The following is an 18,394-nucleotide window of genomic DNA, read 5'->3' as shown; positions in this document are numbered from 1 at the left end:
TTTTTAGTAGAGGTGGGGTTTCACCGTGTTAGGCAGGATGGTATCGAACTCCTGACTTTGTGATCTACCCGCCTCTGCCTCCCAAAGTGCTGGGATTACAGGAATGAGCCACCACGCCCAGCCAAGAGTAGGTACTGTTTATTAACTGACCACCTTAGAAAAATAATCATGGTAGACACCTTAGTTCATTCTTCTAATAAGCCTGTTGATCTGGTCCTCCCTGTTGCTAGCATCTCCACCTTCTACAAAATGGGTGGTCTTTTTCTTCATTCCGCCTCGTGGAGAAGATAATTTGAAGGGCCACAGGTAGTTATTTGCTTCTTTGAAGCATTTTCCAACAGTATAGATCTCATGAATCAGATCCTCCAGGCAGATGATGCCATATTTACCAAGAGATCAAGCAATCAAAGTGTTATGTATCAAAGCAATTCGCTTCTTATTGATTTTGCCATAACCATGCTTGTAAATTAGTTCATTTACTGACTTCAGATTTGGGTATCCCCATGCAATATATGGGTCTACAATCCTCAGCATGTTAACTGAAGCCTGTTGAGCTTCACAAAGTTTCCACTGAAGTTTGACAAAGGCAAAGAAGCTGCAACACCTTTCAGACCTTTGGGCTCACACCATTGATGCCTCTGATCCTGATGACAAACGCCAATTTGGGTTCTGCAGGTACATAGAAGTTGCCAGCTTTTCTTGCCATCCTCGCCATTCGAATTTCAGTTCTGTACATCTGCCTATATTCCTTGTGATAGTGCTTTTCTTTTTCACAGATAAGCTTCCTCCTTGCCTTTCTTTCTTTTCTTTCTTTTTTTGAGATGGAGTTTTGCTCTTGTTGCCCAAACTGGAGTGCAGTGGTGCAATCTTGGCTCACTGCAACCTCTGCCTCCGGGGTTCAAGCGATTCTCCTGCTTCAGCCTCCTGAGTAGCTGGGACTACAGGTGCCTGCCACGATGCCTGGCTAATTTTTGTATTTTTAGTAGAGACCAGATTTCACCATGTTGGCCAGGCTGGTCTTGAACTCCTGACCTCAGATGATCCACCTGCCTCGGCCCCTCAAAGTGCTGGGATTACAGTCATGAGCTACCGCACCTGGCTTAAAAAATACAAAAATAGTTTAAAAAAACTTTTTTTGAAACCAGGTCTTGCTCTGCTGCCCAAGCTGGAGTGAAGAGGCACAATCTCAGCTCACTGCAGCCTTGATGTCCCAGGCTCAAGCAATCCTCCTACCTCAGCGTCTCGAGTATCTGGAACTACAGGCATGGGCTGCCATGCCTGGTTTATTTTATTTTTTTGTAGAGACGGGGTCTCCCTATGTTGCCCAGGCTGGTCTTGAACTCCTGGGCTCAAGCAATCTCTAGCCTCAGCCTCCCAAAGTGCAGTAATTACAGGTGTGAGCCACCATACACAGCCCTCAATAGAGTTGTAATAATAATTTTTAAAACCCTAAGTGCTAAGGAGAATGGGCTTGATGGAGAGAACTCCCTGGAAAGGGAAATGAGATTTTACTTGCATCTGAGTTGCTGGGCCACCGATCTGACCTAAGAGGTCATCTGAAGTAAGCTTAGCCACAGAGGCTCTCCTAGGTCCTAGTAATGGAGATAAGGAGACTGAGAGAAAAATTACTGAAGTAGAGGGTTAGATTTGCTATTTGGGTGCAAAAATCTTATTAGCACCCAAAGGTTTCTGGGTAAAATGTTGAAATGTTATTTGCTTGACATCTGATTCTTTTAAACTTGGCCTCATTTCCCTTAGGACTCTGGGATATCCCTCTGCCCAATGGCTTCCCCTCTCCAACTGCATTAAGTGTGTCCTGAAACAGTGAAAACAGTGTGGATGCAGGGAGGGGGACTGGCAGGGAATACCTTTGACCCTATAGTACTCTTACCTGCCTCCAGTTCCATACCTGGGGGATAGGGGCGGTTCTGAATAGGGGGAAGGTGGAAGGAAACACACTGAAAACTCCAGCGTGCTGCAAATCCCGGGCCAAGCTCCGCCTTCCTGAGTGCTTGGAATCTTTCAAAACAGGTGAGAACGAGGCTGAACGTTCCTGAAATTCAAGCAAAAGAGTACCTTTCAGGTAGGAGGAGGAAGGGTCAAGGGTCTTTAGGACCTGGTTCTTTCACTTCAGAATCAAAACCTGTCCTTGTCCTTAGCCCAGTCCCCCACCCCCAACTCCCTTCTACCCTACTCCTCTCTGTCCTTCCTCATATTCCTGAAGCCCTAGACAATTTCCCCAGGTAGCAATCACTTGTTCAACACTCTCCGGGACCCTTCTCCAACCTTAACCTTTATAATGATGAGATCTCTTATCAGCACTGTCTCGTGCCCTTGGTTTTCTATTTCCCTAGCAGGAGTAGGAATTTAAATAAACACTTATTATTTTTATATTTTTATTTTTATATCAGCCAACACATTCCTTATACTATAGGACTGTAAAAGGGAGCAGCTTTTTGCCCCATTCCCTATTTCAGCCATGAAAAGAAACTTAAGTTTGGACTGTCAGAACCTAAAGAAACCCTGGTGACGGGCTAATAAAAATTAGCTAGCAGCCAAATGTGTTGGCTCACGCCTGTAATCCCAGCACCTCGAGAGGCCAAGATGGGAGGGACTACTCCAGCTCAGGAGTTCGAGACCATCCTGGGCTACAAAGTATGACCCTCCCATCTCTTAAAAAAAAAAAAATTAAAGGTTGGGCGTGGTGGCTCACGCCTGTAATCCCAGCACTTTGGGAGGCCAAGGCGGGCAGATCACCTGAGGTCAGGAGTTCAAGACCAGACTGGCAAACATGGTGAAACCGTGTCTACTAAAAATACAAAAATTAGCCAGGCATGGTGGTGGGTGCCTGTAATCCCAGCTACTTGGGAGGCTGAGGCAGGAGAATCACTTGAACCCAGGAGATGGAGGTTGCAGTGAGCCGAGATTGTGCCATTGCACTCCAGCCTGGGCAACAGAGCCAGACTCTGTCGCAAAAAATAAATTTAAAAAAAATTTTAAAAATTAGCCACCTGTAGTGCATCTGTATTCTCAGCTACTTGGGAGGCTGGAGGAGACTTTGAGCCCAGGAGTTCAAGGTTGCAATGGGCTATAAACGCACCACTGCACTCCAGCCTGAGTGACAATGAAACCCTGTCTCAAAAATAAAATAAAATAAATATTAGCTAGCAACAAGCCATCTGCATCAGAATGACCTTGTTATCAAGGCCAGTTCCAGGACCCTATCCCAAATGTAAGGTATCAGTCACCTGCTCCGTTCATGGGGCCTGGGAATCTCATTCTGATGCACTTGTAACTTACAAGACCCTCTGCTTTAAAGAAATAGAGTCTCAATGCTCCTTCTTTCATATTTTATTCTTGCCATGTTTTATTTCTTGGGAGTCTGGAGTGAGAAACTCTTAAGAATGTGTAACAGGTATGGACTTGTGTTCCTGGGCCTAGAGTGAGATGGGGAGGGGTAGGTGGGGCTGGGAAGAGGTGCGCCAATACAAATATTGTCCCATCAGGACCTGGCAATTTTGCCAGGAGGCTCACAGGGATGTGCCCCTTACTAGAGAAGGTGTCCTGTTCCCCCTCCTCAAGGCTGAGGAGTCTGGTGCCATGGGAAAGGGCAGAGGTCAACAGTGTTGGTCAGGGAAGGCTAGACTGCACAAGAAAGAATTGGGCCAATGTCAGGGGTTTATTGGAATCCCTCTGGCTCCAGAAAGTGTGGGTTGAGAACCACCTGGGAGACCCTTAGAGGAAGGAGAAGAGGTAGAAGCAGATTAGACTTTCACTTCACTCAGGGCCTGATAACCATACCAGGTCAAGGGGATACCTCATTGTTCCTCTGATTTTAGGGGTCAGAAGTTGGGAGAGGAGCCAAGGGTTGGGAATTCCAGTACATCAAATCTATTGTACCCATCCACCCAGTGAATCGTGGAGTCTGACCAATTCACAAAAGACTTAGATATTGGGGTTGGAGGTAGTGCTTCCACTCAGTAATCCGTCTCATCCACACTGCTGAGTAGACTTGGCCAGTGTCCTCCCTGCCTCACCCACAAACCAAGTCAATCAGGTTGACTCCTGCTTATGCTTCCTAACTCAATTTTTCCACCTTTCCTAAACCCCCAGGTGGGTTGGGTGCCCTTCACTGTGCTCCCAAAGAGCTCCATTCTTGCCCATATTGCATAACACAATACCATGTTGTGATTTGTGTCTTATGTCCGTCTCCCCAACCAACAATCCACATTCCTCCCATGGTGTCTGCTGTGGCCAGGTCAAGGCCTCTCACAGAGTAGGCAGATGCTCACGTGCCCACAGGGATTGCCCCAGCAGTGGGAGTGGTCCCTCAGGGGACTGGGCCCAAAAGAACCTAGAACCTCAGGCCTCCTACACAATGGGAACAGATTTGGCCCGGATGGGAACTTTAGACACCAGGCCAGGCTTCTGCCCACTCTATCCTTTGTCCCACGAAGCTGCCAAGGATGGCAGTTCCAGCTGGCAAGTAATAAGAATTTCTTCCTGGAAGGATTCTTGGCTTGAGAACTGGCCTTTACCTCGTCTAGGCTTCTTTGATGCCCTCAAGTTGCTGGGGACCTGGGGAATGGGAGGGAGAGGCTGAGTCGGCCCCAGCATTGTTACTGTTCCCCTAAAGGCCTTGTGCCTACTTCTTACCTCCTCTAACTGCACATGGCAGGGATTCCCAAGATCATGGGTTTTCCAACCCTGAGTAGAGGTGGGGGACGGGACTGGCCCAACATTTGATGCCAGGAGAGTAACACTGCCTTTGGCCACACATGTCCCAGCCCTAACTCTTGCCTTTCTTGGCTTTAGCTAACCAAGGTAAAGCTTCAGCCCAACAGACTGAAGAGGAACAGGCCCATTATCAAGAAGAACTCCAGCCTGGGCAACATGGCAAAACCCTGTCTCTATAAACATTAACCGAGTGTGGTGGCACGTGCCTATAGTCCCAGCTACTCAGGAGGCTGAGGTGGGAGGATCACTTGAGCCTGAGACACCAAAGCTGCAGTGAACTGTGATTACACTACTGCACTCCAGCCTGGGTGGATAGACCGAGACCCTATTTGAAGACCCATACTCAGTCCTCATAAATAACGAACTCCAGTTTCACACAGTGGGCCTGACTCTGGCTGGAGGATCCTTGTATCTCTAAAGGCCAAGTCTTCAGAAAACCTCACAGCCCTCAATAGGGCAGAGTCCTTCCCCTAACCCAGGAAACACATACCCAATCGCAGCTACTTTATTTTCGTTTTAATTTTTTGGAAGGATATACACCACATATCCCATGGGCAATAAAGCGCATTCAATGTGTTTATAAGCCAAACAGTCACTTTGTTTAAGCAAACACAAGTACAAAGTAAAATAGAACCACAAAATAATGAACTGCATGTTCATAACATACAAAAATCGCCGCCTACTCAGTAGGTAACTACAACATTCCAACTCCTGAATATATTTATAAATTTACATTTTCAGTTAAAAAAATAGACTTTTGAGAGTTCAGATTTTGTTTTAGATTTTGTTTTCTTACATTCTGGAGAACCGAAGCTCAGCTCAGCCCTCTTCCTTATTTTGCTCCCAAAGCCTCCCCCAAATCATCACTCCCTGCCCCCCTTAAGGCTAGAGGTGAGCATGTCCCTCACAATTGCACATGTCAAGCCATCAGCAAGGCGCATCACACAAAAGGCACCAAGACGTGAAACTTTTTAAACCAAAAGGACGAAGAAAAAACACTTTCAAAAAAAAAAAAAAAGAAAAACCAAACCATATTTTGCCACATGTGAGAGTACGGTCAAGCAGTATTTACAAAAAGGTTAACGGAACAACACTCTGACACATGCTCTGAGAATACTGGGACTGCTGTTTCAAAAAAAAAGGTTCAAACTTATTGTCACAGCATCATCACAAAATAGAGGATCACCATTGGTTTGCTTGGCTTTTCTTTTTTTTTTTTCCCCCAAGTGAGGACCTAACTCCAAATAATACAATAGAATATGCAAATTATCTTCACATCAAGAGTACCCCAAGAAAAACGAAATCCATGGCACAGACACTGTACAAGGGTGCAGGGCAGGGCTCTGAGGGGCCCAAACCCCATTTTGCCAACTCGATTTTCTAGCATTGAAGGGAGCAAGGGGTCAGGCATATGATGGAGATGATACTGAAATGATTTATCCAAAATCCATGCAAATCAAGTTCTTTGGATAGAGGTGAAGAACTTGGACATGGCTGTTTCAGGCAGCTGAAGTCAAAGGGAATAGTAATTGGGGAAGGGGAAGTGGGCAGAAAGGATTGTTGGCCAATAGACCTTCCACTCCAGTAGAGAGGGAGGACTTGGCTCTGAGAACCTCCATCTGACCTAAGAGGAACCCTCCTCTCCTATGGCCATCTCCTCCTCCTGTCCTTTAAGTCTCTTGTGTTTCTTTTTCTCCCTTTTCCCTTTCTTTCCCCTTTCCCTTTAGCAAATTTCAATTGTCCTGGGAGAAAAGGTTGCTGTCATGTCCGAAAGCCCTGTGGAGGCGCTGAAGGAGTTGGTGACAGCTGAGGAAGGGAAGCTGCTGACCTGGGCCGGGAAAGCAGGGGGAACAGAGGAGTACGTGGTGGCCACCGACGGGGAGGGGAAGCCACTGTGCACAGGGGATGGGTAGGTCGAGGAGCCGGGAGAGGAGAAGGAGGTGGGCACAGGGGATGGGTATGAGGTGGTGGCCGGGGATGGATAAGAGGTAGTAACCGGGGACGGGTAAGAGGTAGCAACCGGGGACGGGTAGGAAGAGAGAGAGGAGGTGGCCGAAGAGGCCACAACACTTTTGTCTGCTTTCTTGTCCTTCTGCCGCAAGTGGATCTTGGTATGCCTCTTGCGTTCATCGCTCCTGGCAAACTTTCTTCCACAGATGTCGCAGGCGAAGGGCTTTTCGCCTGTGTGGGTGCGGATGTGGGTGGTGAGGTGGTCGCTGCGGCTGAAGTTGCGCATGCAGATGCGGCACTGGAAGGGCTTCTGGCCTGTGTGGATGCGGATGTGGCGGGTGAGCTCGTCGGAGCGGGAGAAGCGGCGATCACAGGACTCCACTGGGCAAGCGTAAGGGCGTTCGTGGGGGGGCGTCTTGCTGGGCCGGTTGGGGTACTTGCGCATGCGGCTGGGTTTGATGAGCTGGGACTGGTAGCTGGTATTGAGGGCCTTCAGGTCCTGGGAGCCCGACTGAGTGGCAAAGGCCTTAATAGTAGACAGAGGGGTTAGCGAAGGCTGCTGGGTGCGGCTCTCCAGGCCCTGGAAGGGCTTCTGGTCTGGGGTGCCCAGGCCCAGATCCCCCTGCTGCTGTGGAAACAGGTAGTCGGGGATCATGGGAACCTGGAAGCCACCCTTGGCGGCAGGGTAGGCAGGAGGCGGGTACTGGAGCGCTGTCCCTGCCGAGCCCGGGAAGGCCTGGCTTTGTGGCTCAGGGAAAATGTCAGTGTTCGGCGTGGGGAAGGTGGGTGCCGCTGAGTAAATGGGACTGCTGTCGTTGGATGGCACTGCGCAGCTCAGGGGTGGGCTCTGGGAGGCGGAGGCGGAGGAGGCCGCTGGAGATGGTGCTGAGGACGAGGAGGCCGGTGGGTTGGTCATGCTCACTAGGCCACTGACCAAGCTGAAGAGGGGCTCGGGCCACAAGGTGTTGCCACTGTTGGGTGCAGGCTCCAGGGAAAAGCGGCCAGTATAGGTGATGGGGGGCAGTCGAGTGGTTTGGCTGGGGTAACTGGTCTCCACCAGCACCTTCTCGTTGTTCAGAGAGATGTCAGGAAAAGACTCTGGCAGGAGAGAGAGAAGCGGGAGGCCTGGTTACTGGAAAGCAATCACTGGAGGACGAGGACGACCCGAGCTGCCAGGCAAGAGACCGGGCCGGCTACCATTGACTCCCGAGGTAGTTAATAATTGATAGCAGCACATTGCAATGTTCCTGGACCCGCACCAGTGGCAGAGCCCATTTCAACAACAGCTGACGCAAATACGGAGAATCCCCCTCCACTGCAGCTCGCAGCGCTCCGCAGCGGCGGCTGTGCGGGCGAGGGATTCCCGCCAGCACCCCCATGGCCGCGGCTAGTGCGCGCCCCCAAACCCGGGCTGCCGGGACATCCACGGCCAAGGATCACGGTCCTTCCTTGGGGACAGGCGGCAAGCAAGGCAAGGCAAGTCTTACTGGAGGTGGGGGGCGCAGCCCCGCTCATCAAAACAAGCCCTCCCCCTCCACCCACCCACGCAGCTCCAGAGCTCTCCATCCAAAACAAAAGCTCGGTCCTCTGCGCTCCGCTAGGGATGAGGGCAGGGGGTGGGCTGTGTGGGGTTCCTTGGCATCCCTCTAACACATGACTCTGGGGATGCGAGGAATGAAAGGGAAACCCGGCTCTCATTCTAAGATCCAGGAGCACTCCTGCGGTGAAGGACAGGACGCCAGGATGGTGGCGAAAGGGTTCCCCCTCGGCGTAGGCCACTGCTTACCTGCGGTCAGGTGCTCGTAGGGCTGCTCGCCCGTGTCCGCCTGAGGGTTGAAGGTGCTGCTGCTGCTGCTGCTGTTGCTGCCGCCCCCGCCGCCTCCACCGCCCCCGCTGCTGCTGCTGCTGCTGTTGCTGCCGCTGCCCTCTGGGGCCCCGGCGGCGCCGAGGAACTGGGGAGCCCCGTTGCTCAGCAGCATCATCTCCTCCAGCTTAGGGTAGTTGTCCATGGTGGGCGAGTGAGGAAAGGATCCGAACGGGTCAGAGATCTGCAGCGGGGACATCAGCTGCATCTCGGCCTTGGCCGCGGCCATCCTGGACGAGCAGGCTGGAGAGCTGGTGTCGGGGCGGGGGGGTGCAGCCCGGGGCTGGAGCTGCAGGGGACACAGTTGCGGGGGCCTGGCCGGGTTACATGCGGGGCGCGGGGAACACTGAGAAGCGTGCAGGCGGCGACCCCGACTCGCCCTGGGCGCGGGCGGGCGTGGACGCGCCGCGGCTGCGGAGGCTGGGGCAGGGGCCGGTCCTGCGGCGGCGGAAGCTGGCTGCGGCGGCGGATGGCGGCGGCGGCTCCCCAAGTTCTGCGCGCTGGGATCTCTCGCGACTCCCCGGATCCGCCTCTATTTGAAGGGTCTGGAACGGCACGGGTCCGCCTCCGTCGTGACGTACATGGCCATATATGGGAAGCAGGAAGCCCTAATATGGCAGGACCGGCCGGGAGGACCCGGAGTGACGTGAAGCCCCCCATCCGACAGCGCCCGGCACCTCCATCCTGCACCCTAGGGCCCGCGCCCGCGCCCGCATCCCAGGCGCCCAGGCTTCGGGGAAGCCTAGAGCTCTAGCCGCCGCCGGGGCCTCCGGGACCCGCGCAGCTCCGGAGTTCCCGCGTTGCCCCTCCCTCCGCCTTCTTCCCTCCTCCCAGAGCCGGAAGCGGCCGGGCCATATCGGGCCACTCCAAATAAGGTGCTGCCCAAATAAGGGTTGTTCCGGCGGGGGATCCTTCCTGCTCCTTATATGGCATTTCCGGGTCGCAGCTGGTTGCTCCCTCGCTCCCTCCCTCCTCCCTGGTTCCAAGCCGGGAGCCCGAGCGCTCGCGGGATCCGGGGACGCCCAGGCGGGGAGGGCTCGTGGCGTGTGGCGCTGGGCGCGCGGCTGCTCAGGCGGCTCCTAGGCGTGAACTAGGCTGGGGAAGCCCAGACCCAGAGCGGGGGCGAGGGCGAGTCGGGCCGGGGTTCTATCGCTGTCATCCAGGGCCCGCCCGCCCACCTCAGGGACCGTGAGAGCGAACCGGGAGTGCGGGGGAGGAGCGGCTGGGCCCGCCTGGGCAGGGGCCGCCCAGGAGAGGCGGGGCCTTGACCCCGGGCCTCGATCTATGGCACGGTGTCTTTCCGGGTGTCGCTGGGAAATTGAGGATAGGAAGTCACGGCCACTTGGTTCTTGGGACACTGTATAGCAGTGAGCTGCCTTGCCTCTGCCACCTGTCGGTGGGATGGGGCTGCTGGTGCCTGGGGTCCCCTGTGCTCCCCCGGAACCGAAAGGCTGTTCCCTAGTCCCCGCCGGCAAAGAGCCCACCTTTGGGGGACCGAAGTGGGGAAGCTGATTGCCCCAAGAGAGGCCTGATTCTTGTTCTCACCAGGAGATAATGGTCCTTGTGGTGAGGGGTCACTTTCCCCCCTTTATCCAGTCCAGGTGGAGGGCCGGCCCACACTGCGGGAATCCGAAAGAGGGGCTTCCCTATGGGCTGTCTGGGGACCCCGGGCTGGGCGCGAAGAGAGGACCGGCTTGGCGGCTCGGTGCTGCCCCCTGGAGGTTCCCTCTCCACTCCCAGCCCCGGACTCCGGCCGCGCGGGCTCTTCCGCCGCCTCCTCGCTCCTCCTCCCGGATGCGGCGCTGGGCGCGGAGCCAGGCCGGGGGAGCCTTCGACGCAGTGAGCACGAACTGAGCAGGCGCTGCAGCCCGGGCTCCCCCTGCAGTCCCTGGGGAGCCGTCACTGCCGAGGCGCCCAGACTCCGGGATAACACTCCTCACCCCGAGCCTGGCCAAGGCGAGGGGGAGAAGGAAGCAGGGGGTGGGTGGTGGCGAGGGAGAACGATTCCCGCAGGTCTCCCTGGGGCCGAACGCGAACAGGGAAGCCCTCCCCGCCCCCACGACGCAGTCAGTTGCTCACCCCAAAGGGAACAGGGATTCCGGGAAGGGAAGGCTCCTCCTGCTCTAGCTCTGAATCCAGAGGAGGTGCTGTTTTTTCTGGATTTAAAAAGAAAGCAGAAAGAGAATGTGGGGAAGGAGGGTGCTTGACGACACCGAGAGGGAAGGGAGGAGGTGAGGGCCTCTGTGAACCCCAACAGCCTCTGGAGGTCGGGGTCAGGGGGATTAGGTGGGGGAGGGTGTAACTTTCTTGGACTTAATCCCTCTGTGGCTGTCCCCCCTCCAAACATGTTTTCTTATAAAAACCAACTTAATGAACCAGGACTCCCTCGTCTCGGAGCCTGCCGTCTCAAGTCCGCTGGGGAGGTGGGGGGCTCACTCCCACTGTCTACCGAGTTGTCCATTGGGGCAGGAGTGATGCGCCTCTCAGAGGACTCCTGCCGCAAGGGCAGGAAGGCCAGGCTGTTGCAGCGCAGATGGCCTTGTGTCTGAATGTCCATTTTGCCACTCCCTGGTAGGGTACCTTAGCCAAATTTTTTTTTTAATGTTTTTATTCTTTCTGAGACGGGGTCTCACGCTGGCACCCAGGTTGGAGTGCAGTGGCGCGAGCTCACTGCAACCTCCGCCTCCCAGGCTCAAGTGATCCTCCAGCCTCCTCCTCTCGAGTAGCTTGGACTACAGGTGCCTGCCACCACGCCTGGCTTTTACTTTTTTTTTTTTTTTTTTTTTTTGTATTTTCGTAGAGAGGGGTTTCGCTGTGTTGCCCAGGCTGGTCTTGAACTCTTGAGCTCAAGCGATTCACCCACTTCGGCCTCCCAAAGTGCTGGCATTCCAGGTGTGAGCCACAGCACCCAGCCAGCCAAGCTTTTTGTTTACTTGTTTGTTTTTGCTTTTTTTAAGACAGAGTCTCCCTGTGTCACCCAGGCTGGAGTGCAATGGGGCAATTTTGGCTCACTGCGACCTCCGCCTCCTGGGTTCAAGCTATTTTCCTGCCTCAGCCTCCCTAGTAGCTGGGACCACAGGTGCACCCCACCACACATGGCTAATTTTTGTATTTTTAGTAGAGACCAGGTTTCACCATGTTGGCCAGCCTGATCTTGAACTCCTGATCTCAGGTGATCCACCTACCTTGGCCTCCCAAAGTGCTGGTATTACAGGCGTGAGCCACCGTGCCCAGCCAGCCATGCTTTTTGTGTCTCACTTTCTTCAACTGTAAAATGGGGCTAATGTTAATAATACCCACATGGGGCCGGGCACAGTGGCTCATGCCTGTAATCCCAGCACTTTGGGAGGCCGAGGCAGGCGGATCATGAGATCAGGAGATCGAGACCATCCTGGCTAACACGGTGAAACCCCATCTCTACTAAAAATACAAAAAAATTAGCCGGGCGTGGTGGTGGCCACCTGTAGTCCCAGCTACTCCGGAGGCTGAGGCAGGAGAGTGGCGTGAACCCGGGAGGTGGAGCTTGCAGTGAGCCGAGATCACAACACTGCACTCAAGCCTGGGCGACAGAGTGAGACTCTGTCTCAAATAAATAAATAATAGTAATAATACCCACATGGGAGTATTGTTGTGAGGACTGAAACTTATGCGGGCTGCCATATGTCAAGTCCCAACACACAGTACCTGCCTTGCAATTGGCATTCAACAAACAGTGGCTATTGTTCTTTTCAGAGGCTTTGGATCCATAGAGTCATCCACAGTTCACCCACCCATCCTCAGCCTCCAAGAAAACTCCAGTGACCCTTTTCTGGAAAGCTGTGCAGATGGGGAAAAACATACCAATCCTATCACAGGGGACGTAATCCCTAAGAGTTGATCTGAACCCATCTTGCTGCAGTAGAGCGTTTACTAGAGCAGCATTTTTCAACCTTGACTGTGCAGCAGAATCGCCTGTGGAAGTCTGAAAAAGACAGCTTTTACCCTGGACCAGCTGCATCACAATCTTCCCGAGCTTGCGAGTGGCAGCACTGAGCCAAGGTATCGGCCTGGGATTCTTGTGCTGTCACTGGAGAGCCACCCAGACTGGGAGAGAACATCCTCTGCCCCAGCCAGGGCAAACCAGTTCCCCGATGATTCTCCTGTGCAGCTCACCTAACGTATTTGTCAGGTTCTTGCTGAAGCTCAGCATGGGAAATTCTCATAGTCTACGTCTACATCTTTTGTTTTGCATGACCAACATCAATTCCCCTTTCTTTTTATTACTATTCCCCAGCCAGCAGTTTCCTTTGGGGAGCCACCTTAATCCATGTGGTTGGGGGCAGATAGCCCCTACTCTACATCTATAAGTAGGTATGTTCCCTGGGCCTGGCCATCCACCCAGGGGTGGCCTAGCCTAGGAGTGGTTCATTTCCCTAGCTGTAGTGATTGAGTCAGGATGGGCACATGACCCAAACCAGGCCAATGAGAATCACTTTTTCCAGAACTCTTGGGAAAGGGAAATTCCCTTTCCCTGATGGTACTAAGCCAATAGGATGTAAGCCTGGAGGCCGTTTCGCCCACAGGCCTGGAGAGCCTGCCTGAGAATGAAGCCAATGCAGGGGAAGTCAGAGAGAAGAGACATACAGAAGAGAGAGACAAACGTACAGAAGGTCCCTGGACTCAGCCTGAGCTTTTTAGTTATGCAGGCCAATGAATTCCTTTTTTATTGAATAAAATAAAACATCCTCAGTTAGTTTCTCTCACTCACAACCTAACCAGTTGAACACCCATTATCAACAACAATAAAAACTTCCCTGAGGACTAACTGCAGTCAAGGTTTGGGAATAAGATCCATGGCATAGGCCTTTGCCTCTAAGGATCTTACAGCTGGGTAGAAGAGAGCCTGGATTCTATGTTACAAGAGAATAAAGAATAGAAAGGAAGCAGCCCTGTTAGCCAGCAAAACTCAGTGACACTAAGGGACATAGGAGATAAGAGAAGGGAGAGATTCCAGGAGGCTGGGAGACGGTCAGGGACAATGAAGAGATTTTGGAGGAGAAGGAACGTGAGAAGGCCCAAACTTTGTGGTGGGGAAGTGAGAAGCTGTTTCAGGCCAGGCTTGGGGGTGGGTTGGCCAGGAGCGCCCATGTGTGGTCTGTCTGGGGAAAATGAGGCTGGAAGGGGACGAAATGGGCTAGAGTAGAGAGATTTCCTCTTGGGAAGTAGCAGAAGGTAAAGTTAAATAAAACATTCATTCTTTTGAAAAGGTTTATTGCCCACTGTGTGTATTGGGTGCAGTGCTGAGTCTTAGAGATTCTGCAGTGAGGCTTTGCTCTCATGGAAAATACCATTTAGTGGGATAGACAGAAATAAACAGTTATGCAAATAAAAAGGATAATTTCAGATCATGGTGAGTGTGGCTGATATACTAGGAAGGTGAGGGAAAGGCATATTGGAGGAGGTGGCATTTATGCAGCGATAAAAGATAAAAAAGAGGAGAGGAAACTGACTGCATAGAGGGGTGTGGTGGGGAGAGCATTGCAGGCAGAGGGCCAGCCTTGCAAAGGCCTCAGGAGGGAAGGGAGTCTGGCTGTGATCTTTCTGGGGCCTCAGGTGAAGGTGTGGACAGCAAGAATTGTGCAGAGCCAAATGTACCAGTCCACCCCCTCTCTCCCTTGTTCTGTCCTCACAGCTCATAGAGAGGAGAAGGTGGCCCTTCCCAACCCTGCCCAGCCCCTGTGGTGTGAGCCCCTGGAAGGCAGCTTCCACCTAGGAACGGTGGGAGGAGCTGAGCTCAGAACCGTGCATGCTGCCCAGGCCTTAGCCTGTCATGAAAAGGGCTGAAAGTCACCTCCCTAGATAGGGTTATGCCGCTGACCTGGCTTCTCAGTCACAAGGCTGGGGCATCTGAGCCACCTCACTCCCCTCTGGTCTTATATTTTGGCCAATGGCACACTTCTGTTTGCTGTCATTGGGGGGACAGGAAAGGGAGGAGATGGTGAAAAAATTGGCCCCTCCCGAGGAGCCAAATCTCAGTTGGGGCTAGTGAGCACCCCACTTGTGACCAACAGCCCAGATGAAACAACCAGCCTGGGGCCTGCAGGAAACCATGTTGGAGGTAAGGAAGGCTCCGAGTCACTCTGCACCCTGGTCTAGGGGCCTACTGGGCCTCAAGGGTGCTTAGGGATGACCTGGGGCTCTCAGACCTTTCTGGCCAAGTGACTGATACCAGAAGCCGGGGAAAAGGTAAGAGGCCCTCAGCTGATATCTGCACTTAGACCTTTCCTTGCAAACAGGAGAGGAGGAAGAGGCAGAGGGGAGAGAGAATTGAGCTTGCCCAAGGCCGCTGAGGCTCCAGGAGAAAGCCAGTGGAACCATCCCATCTCCAACACTCGACCCAGGGCTGAGCCGGCTGCAGCTCTCAGAGGAAAACAAGCCCCTTTTTCCATTGCTGCTTCCTCCTCCCCAGCCCTGGGCTACGTCAGCACCCAAGTGCACTGTTCAGGCCGTGGTTTGCACGTGGCCAGCCCGGGCCTCAGGAAGTGACTCTCTTGGGGTTTGTCTGGGGCACCTGTCACACTTTCCGACTGACTTTCCAGCCGAAGGCTGATGGGCTTTGAATGGGTCTGGGGCAGTTCTGCTCCTACCCCAGGGAGGGCTTTGAGGGGTGAGAAGAAACCTGAGGAGGCCAGGCATGAGATGGGACAGAAGGTGCCCTGAGGGGGTGGGTGAGAGGGGGCAGCATGAGGAAGACAAGGGAGAGAGAGGGAGGATCGTCCTGGAGTGCTGAAGTGTGAGCCGTCTCATCTACTCACTCAAGATGCCAGAGGACAGCCCTGGGTCTCAAGCTAGGTGAAGGGCCGTGCAGTGTGATGCTGAGGTCTGAGGCGCAGGGCGTCTGAAGAGGGTGCCTGGCGTGCTCTGGACGGGATCTAGGGGTTGCAGGGAAGAGATCACAGAGGATTGAGCCCCTGGTGACGGGGATGGGGGGTTCCTGCCTGGGAGAGTTGGGGTCTGGGCTCCTCTCCCCAGAGGCTGCCTGGGGAGTGATGCACCAGGCAGAGTCAGGTTAGGCCTACAATGGAAGACCTTGGGGCATCAGCACTTGGGAGGGGCACAGTCTGTACTCGGGGGCAGGGGTCTGTAAAGGGAAGAAGGAGTGGGTGGAAGTGGGTCTTCTCTGTCCCGCAGTGCCCTGCAGATGCAGAACAAGGCTGCTGCCCTTGGACATCCGTCCCTCTGCTCTGTGCTGGCCAGTCTCTCTCCCAGGCCTGAGGCTGGCAGGACCCTGGGCTCAGAGGACAATCCAGCCTCTGGTGGTTTCTTTGCTCCCCCTACCCCCAGCTGAGTGTGCAGTAAAGCCAGCCGGCTGCAGAAATCTCTGGAAGCTCGTTGGGCAGGAGAGGGAGGGGAGCATTACATAAGAGCCCACTGATGTGCAGGAAGTCGAGAGCAGCCTTTAGATTAGAAAGGCAGCGTTTCCACCCAGCCCAGAAAGGCAGGAATAGCAACGGCGGTTATTTCTGGCCCCTCACCACCGCCCAGCGCCGGGGCTGCTCAGCTTCTTGGTGGGTGAGCTTGGGTCCTGCAGGCCTTGGTGCGGGGGATGGGGAGGGAGGGGGCAGGCAGCCCCTGGGGTCACCCCACTCTGGCACCGGCTTCACCCCCAACTTCCACTCCAACAAACACCAGGATGCAGGAAAAACAGCAATAATATCTATTCTGCTTGCTTCCACTGATTTTCCTTAATCTCTGGATACATTCTCTATCTCCACCCTCACCCCAATACACGTTAACCATGTGACAGGCTCTGTGCTAAACACTTGATGGGCATTTGTCCTCACAGTGCCTTATGAGGCAGGTGCCATCCTCACCCCCATCTCACTGATGAGGAAACGTACTCAAAGAGGGCAGGCGATTTGCTCCAGGGCACAGAGCTGCCCACTGGTGGAGCCAGGATTCCAATGCAGACAGCCTGGCTTCAGAGCCCTCCGGCTGAACCCCAGCTCCTACCAAGAACTCTTCTGTGGGACCCCGGAATGAATCAGATGAAGCTTTCACTTTCACCCTGCAGGGTTCTTGAGTCAAGTCCAGTAGGGGAGACAGACATAGGAACGGGTCACTTAAATTCATCCATTCAACAAGTATTTATCAAACATCATTTCTGCTCTAGGCATTAAAGATGCAAAGAGTGGTAAGGAGGGTCCCCCTCTTTGGCAGCTCACAGCCCAGTGGGGGAGACAGACGTTAAGAAGCACTTGGAGCAGTGTGACACACGCTGTCATGGGGGAAGCACAGCGAATGCGGGGGCCCTGATCCAGCTCCCACCCCCTGAAGTGCTTCCCAGGCAGTCAGACAGCCAACTTGTCATTTAAAAAATCATCGCAGGAGGCTGTGGGGGGCACAGGGAGGTCAGATGGTGAGACCGGCAGGCACCCATGCAATGGTCCAGGAGAGAGGGTGGGGTCTGGATGCATCAGCACCGGCTATCACAGGGGCTCCTGCAGGGGCCTCCTAGGTAGAGACAGAAAGACAGCCAGAAAAGCTGACACCCACACCGACTGACAAGCTGCCCAGCCCAAAGGAGCATCCATCTCCCCGGGTACAGTGGCAGCAGGGTGGTTGGGAGGCTGATGGAAGGGCCCTGTCATTCTTCCTTCCTCCAACCATCTTCCTATCAACTCCCTCCATATGGGAACCCTGTTTTAAGCCAAAGTCAACATGCGTGAGTGAGAAGGAAGCTGGCGCCCAGCACAGGAGAGAGAGAGCGCTTCCATCCACGATCATGCTGACAAATAGCCATAAGGGCAGGAGGGTCTGCTCCTGTCCCTAGGAACATCCTCAGAAAGGTCTCAGCTATACTCCCGGCAGAGGCAGCACTTCTCTTCCTAAAAGCAGGCACAGGAAGGGGTCTAGAACTTACAGGATCCAGTTTCCCTCTGGTCCAGTTGCAGAGAGGGCTGTTGTGGCAGGACACAACTGTATTTTTTTTTTTTTTGAGACAGAGTCTCGCTCTGTCGTCTAAGCTGGAGTGCAACGGCGCAATCTTGGCTCACTGTAAGCTCCACCTCCCAGGTTCACGCTATTCTCCTGCCTCAGCCTCCTAAGTAGCTGGGACTACAGGCATGTGCCACCACGCCGGGCTTATTTTGTATTTTTAGTAGAGACGGGGTTTCTCCATGTTGGGCAGGCTGGTCTCAAACTCCCGACCTCAGGTGATCCGCCCACCTTGGCCTTCCAAAGTGTTGGGATTACAGGCGTGAGCCACAGTGCCTGGCCTAAAATTTTAATTATTAATGTTTATATTTTATTGTAAAATACACAAAAATTTACAATTTGAACCATTTTAAGTGTACAATTCAGTGGCATTAAGTACATTCACACTGTTGTACAACTATCACCACTGTCCTTTTCAGAACTTTCTCATCATCCCAAACAGAAACTCTGCACCCTTTAAATAACTCCTTGTTCCTTCCTCCCTGCAATCCCTGCTTTTTTTTTTTTGAGGTGGAGTCTCACTCTGTTGCCCAGGCTGGAGTGCAGTGGCATGATCTCTGCTCACTTCAATCTCTGCCTCCCAGGCTCAAGCGATTCTCCTGCCTCAGCCTCCTGAGTAGCTGAGTCTACAAGTGTGCACCATAACGCCCAGCTAATTTTTGTATTTTTAGTAGTGACAGGGTTTTGCCATGTTGGCCAGGCTGGTCTCAAACTCCTGGCCTCAAGTGATCCGCCCGCCTTGGCCTCCCAAGGTGCTGGCATTAAAGGTATGAGCTATCATGCCCGGCTGCCTGCTAATCTCTATTATAGTTCCTGTCTCTATGGATTTCACTATTCTAGGTATTCATGTAAGCGCAATCATACAAT

At 53.4% G+C, this 18,394-nt stretch overlaps 1 protein-coding gene and 1 pseudogene across 1 annotated transcript, besides 11 other annotated features; both read right to left on the bottom strand.

The window, feature by feature from the left end:
• Nucleotides 125–798, bottom strand: RPL7P19 (ribosomal protein L7 pseudogene 19; annotated as a pseudogene).
• Nucleotides 4,768–5,062: a silencer, noted in NCBI's record as "tiled region #15571; HepG2 Repressive non-DNase unmatched - State 18:Pol2". NCBI's record gives its function as "represses a minimal TATA promoter and a strong SV40 promoter by Sharpr-MPRA in HepG2 cells {active_cell/tissue: HepG2}" and the evidence as "EXISTENCE:reporter gene assay evidence [ECO:0000049][PMID:27701403]".
• Nucleotides 5,239–9,063, bottom strand: EGR1 (early growth response 1). Its single transcript, NM_001964.3, has 2 exons — nt 8,474–9,063; nt 5,239–7,785 (listed from the first exon to the last, which is right to left on the bottom strand). The coding sequence occupies exons 1-2, from the start codon at nt 8,778–8,780 to the stop codon at nt 6,461–6,463; spliced, it is 1,632 nt and encodes a 543-aa protein (NP_001955.1). The 5' UTR covers nt 8,781–9,063; the 3' UTR covers nt 5,239–6,460.
• Nucleotides 8,325–9,164: an enhancer, noted in NCBI's record as "H3K27ac-H3K4me1 hESC enhancer chr5:137801067-137801906 (GRCh37/hg19 assembly coordinates)". NCBI's record gives its function as "activates a minimal SCP1, AML or CMV promoter by ChIP-STARR-seq in primed H9 embryonic stem cells {active_cell/tissue: H9 hESC(primed)}" and the evidence as "EXISTENCE:reporter gene assay evidence [ECO:0000049][PMID:30033119]".
• Nucleotides 8,325–10,459: a biological region, named in NCBI's record as "BRD4-independent group 4 enhancer GRCh37_chr5:137799954-137801153".
• Nucleotides 8,810–9,019: a silencer, noted in NCBI's record as "silent region_16399". NCBI's record gives its function as "represses an Ori minimal core promoter by ATAC-STARR-seq in GM12878 lymphoblastoid cells {active_cell/tissue: GM12878}" and the evidence as "EXISTENCE:reporter gene assay evidence [ECO:0000049][PMID:35858748]".
• Nucleotides 9,078–10,277: an enhancer, noted in NCBI's record as "BRD4-independent group 4 enhancer chr5:137799954-137801153 (GRCh37/hg19 assembly coordinates)". NCBI's record gives its function as "activates an origin of replication core promoter dependent on BRD2, P300/CBP, MED14 and CDK7 cofactors, and independent of BRD4, by STARR-seq in HCT116 cells {active_cell/tissue: HCT116}" and the evidence as "EXISTENCE:reporter gene assay evidence [ECO:0000049][PMID:35650434]".
• Nucleotides 9,110–9,459: a silencer, noted in NCBI's record as "silent region_16398". NCBI's record gives its function as "represses an Ori minimal core promoter by ATAC-STARR-seq in GM12878 lymphoblastoid cells {active_cell/tissue: GM12878}" and the evidence as "EXISTENCE:reporter gene assay evidence [ECO:0000049][PMID:35858748]".
• Nucleotides 9,165–10,005: an enhancer, noted in NCBI's record as "H3K27ac hESC enhancer chr5:137800226-137801066 (GRCh37/hg19 assembly coordinates)". NCBI's record gives its function as "activates a minimal SCP1, AML or CMV promoter by ChIP-STARR-seq in naive H9 embryonic stem cells {active_cell/tissue: H9 hESC(naive)}" and the evidence as "EXISTENCE:reporter gene assay evidence [ECO:0000049][PMID:30033119]".
• Nucleotides 9,470–9,869: a silencer, noted in NCBI's record as "silent region_16397". NCBI's record gives its function as "represses an Ori minimal core promoter by ATAC-STARR-seq in GM12878 lymphoblastoid cells {active_cell/tissue: GM12878}" and the evidence as "EXISTENCE:reporter gene assay evidence [ECO:0000049][PMID:35858748]".
• Nucleotides 10,190–10,459: a silencer, noted in NCBI's record as "silent region_16396". NCBI's record gives its function as "represses an Ori minimal core promoter by ATAC-STARR-seq in GM12878 lymphoblastoid cells {active_cell/tissue: GM12878}" and the evidence as "EXISTENCE:reporter gene assay evidence [ECO:0000049][PMID:35858748]".
• Nucleotides 15,245–15,344: an enhancer, noted in NCBI's record as "active region_23205". NCBI's record gives its function as "activates an Ori minimal core promoter by ATAC-STARR-seq in GM12878 lymphoblastoid cells {active_cell/tissue: GM12878}" and the evidence as "EXISTENCE:reporter gene assay evidence [ECO:0000049][PMID:35858748]".
• Nucleotides 16,014–16,180: a transcriptional cis regulatory region, noted in NCBI's record as "candidate enhancer chr5.3152 targeted for multiplex CRISPR interference". NCBI's record gives its function as "positively regulates EGR1 gene expression with high confidence in K562 cells {active_cell/tissue: K562}" and the evidence as "EXISTENCE:mutant phenotype evidence [ECO:0000015][PMID:30612741]".

This window comes from Homo sapiens, chromosome 5 (genome assembly GCF_000001405.40).
Source record: "Homo sapiens chromosome 5, GRCh38.p14 Primary Assembly".
In the NCBI taxonomy this organism is placed as follows: domain Eukaryota; kingdom Metazoa; phylum Chordata; class Mammalia; order Primates; family Hominidae; genus Homo; species Homo sapiens.
The sequence above is the reverse complement of the archived record's forward strand: the minus strand, read 5'-3'. Positions and strand labels throughout refer to the sequence as shown.

What these genes read in the sequence shown, in the direction of transcription:
- EGR1 (NM_001964.3), bottom strand. Translation starts at nt 8,780, where the DNA reads ATGGCCGCGGCCAAGGCCGAGATGCAGCTGATGTCCCCGCTGCAGATC. An exon ending in CTACGAGCACCTGACCGCAG is followed by an intron (nt 7,786 to 8,473) that starts GTAAGCAGTGGC and finishes CTCTCCTGCCAG; the next exon opens with AGTCTTTTCCTGACATCTCT.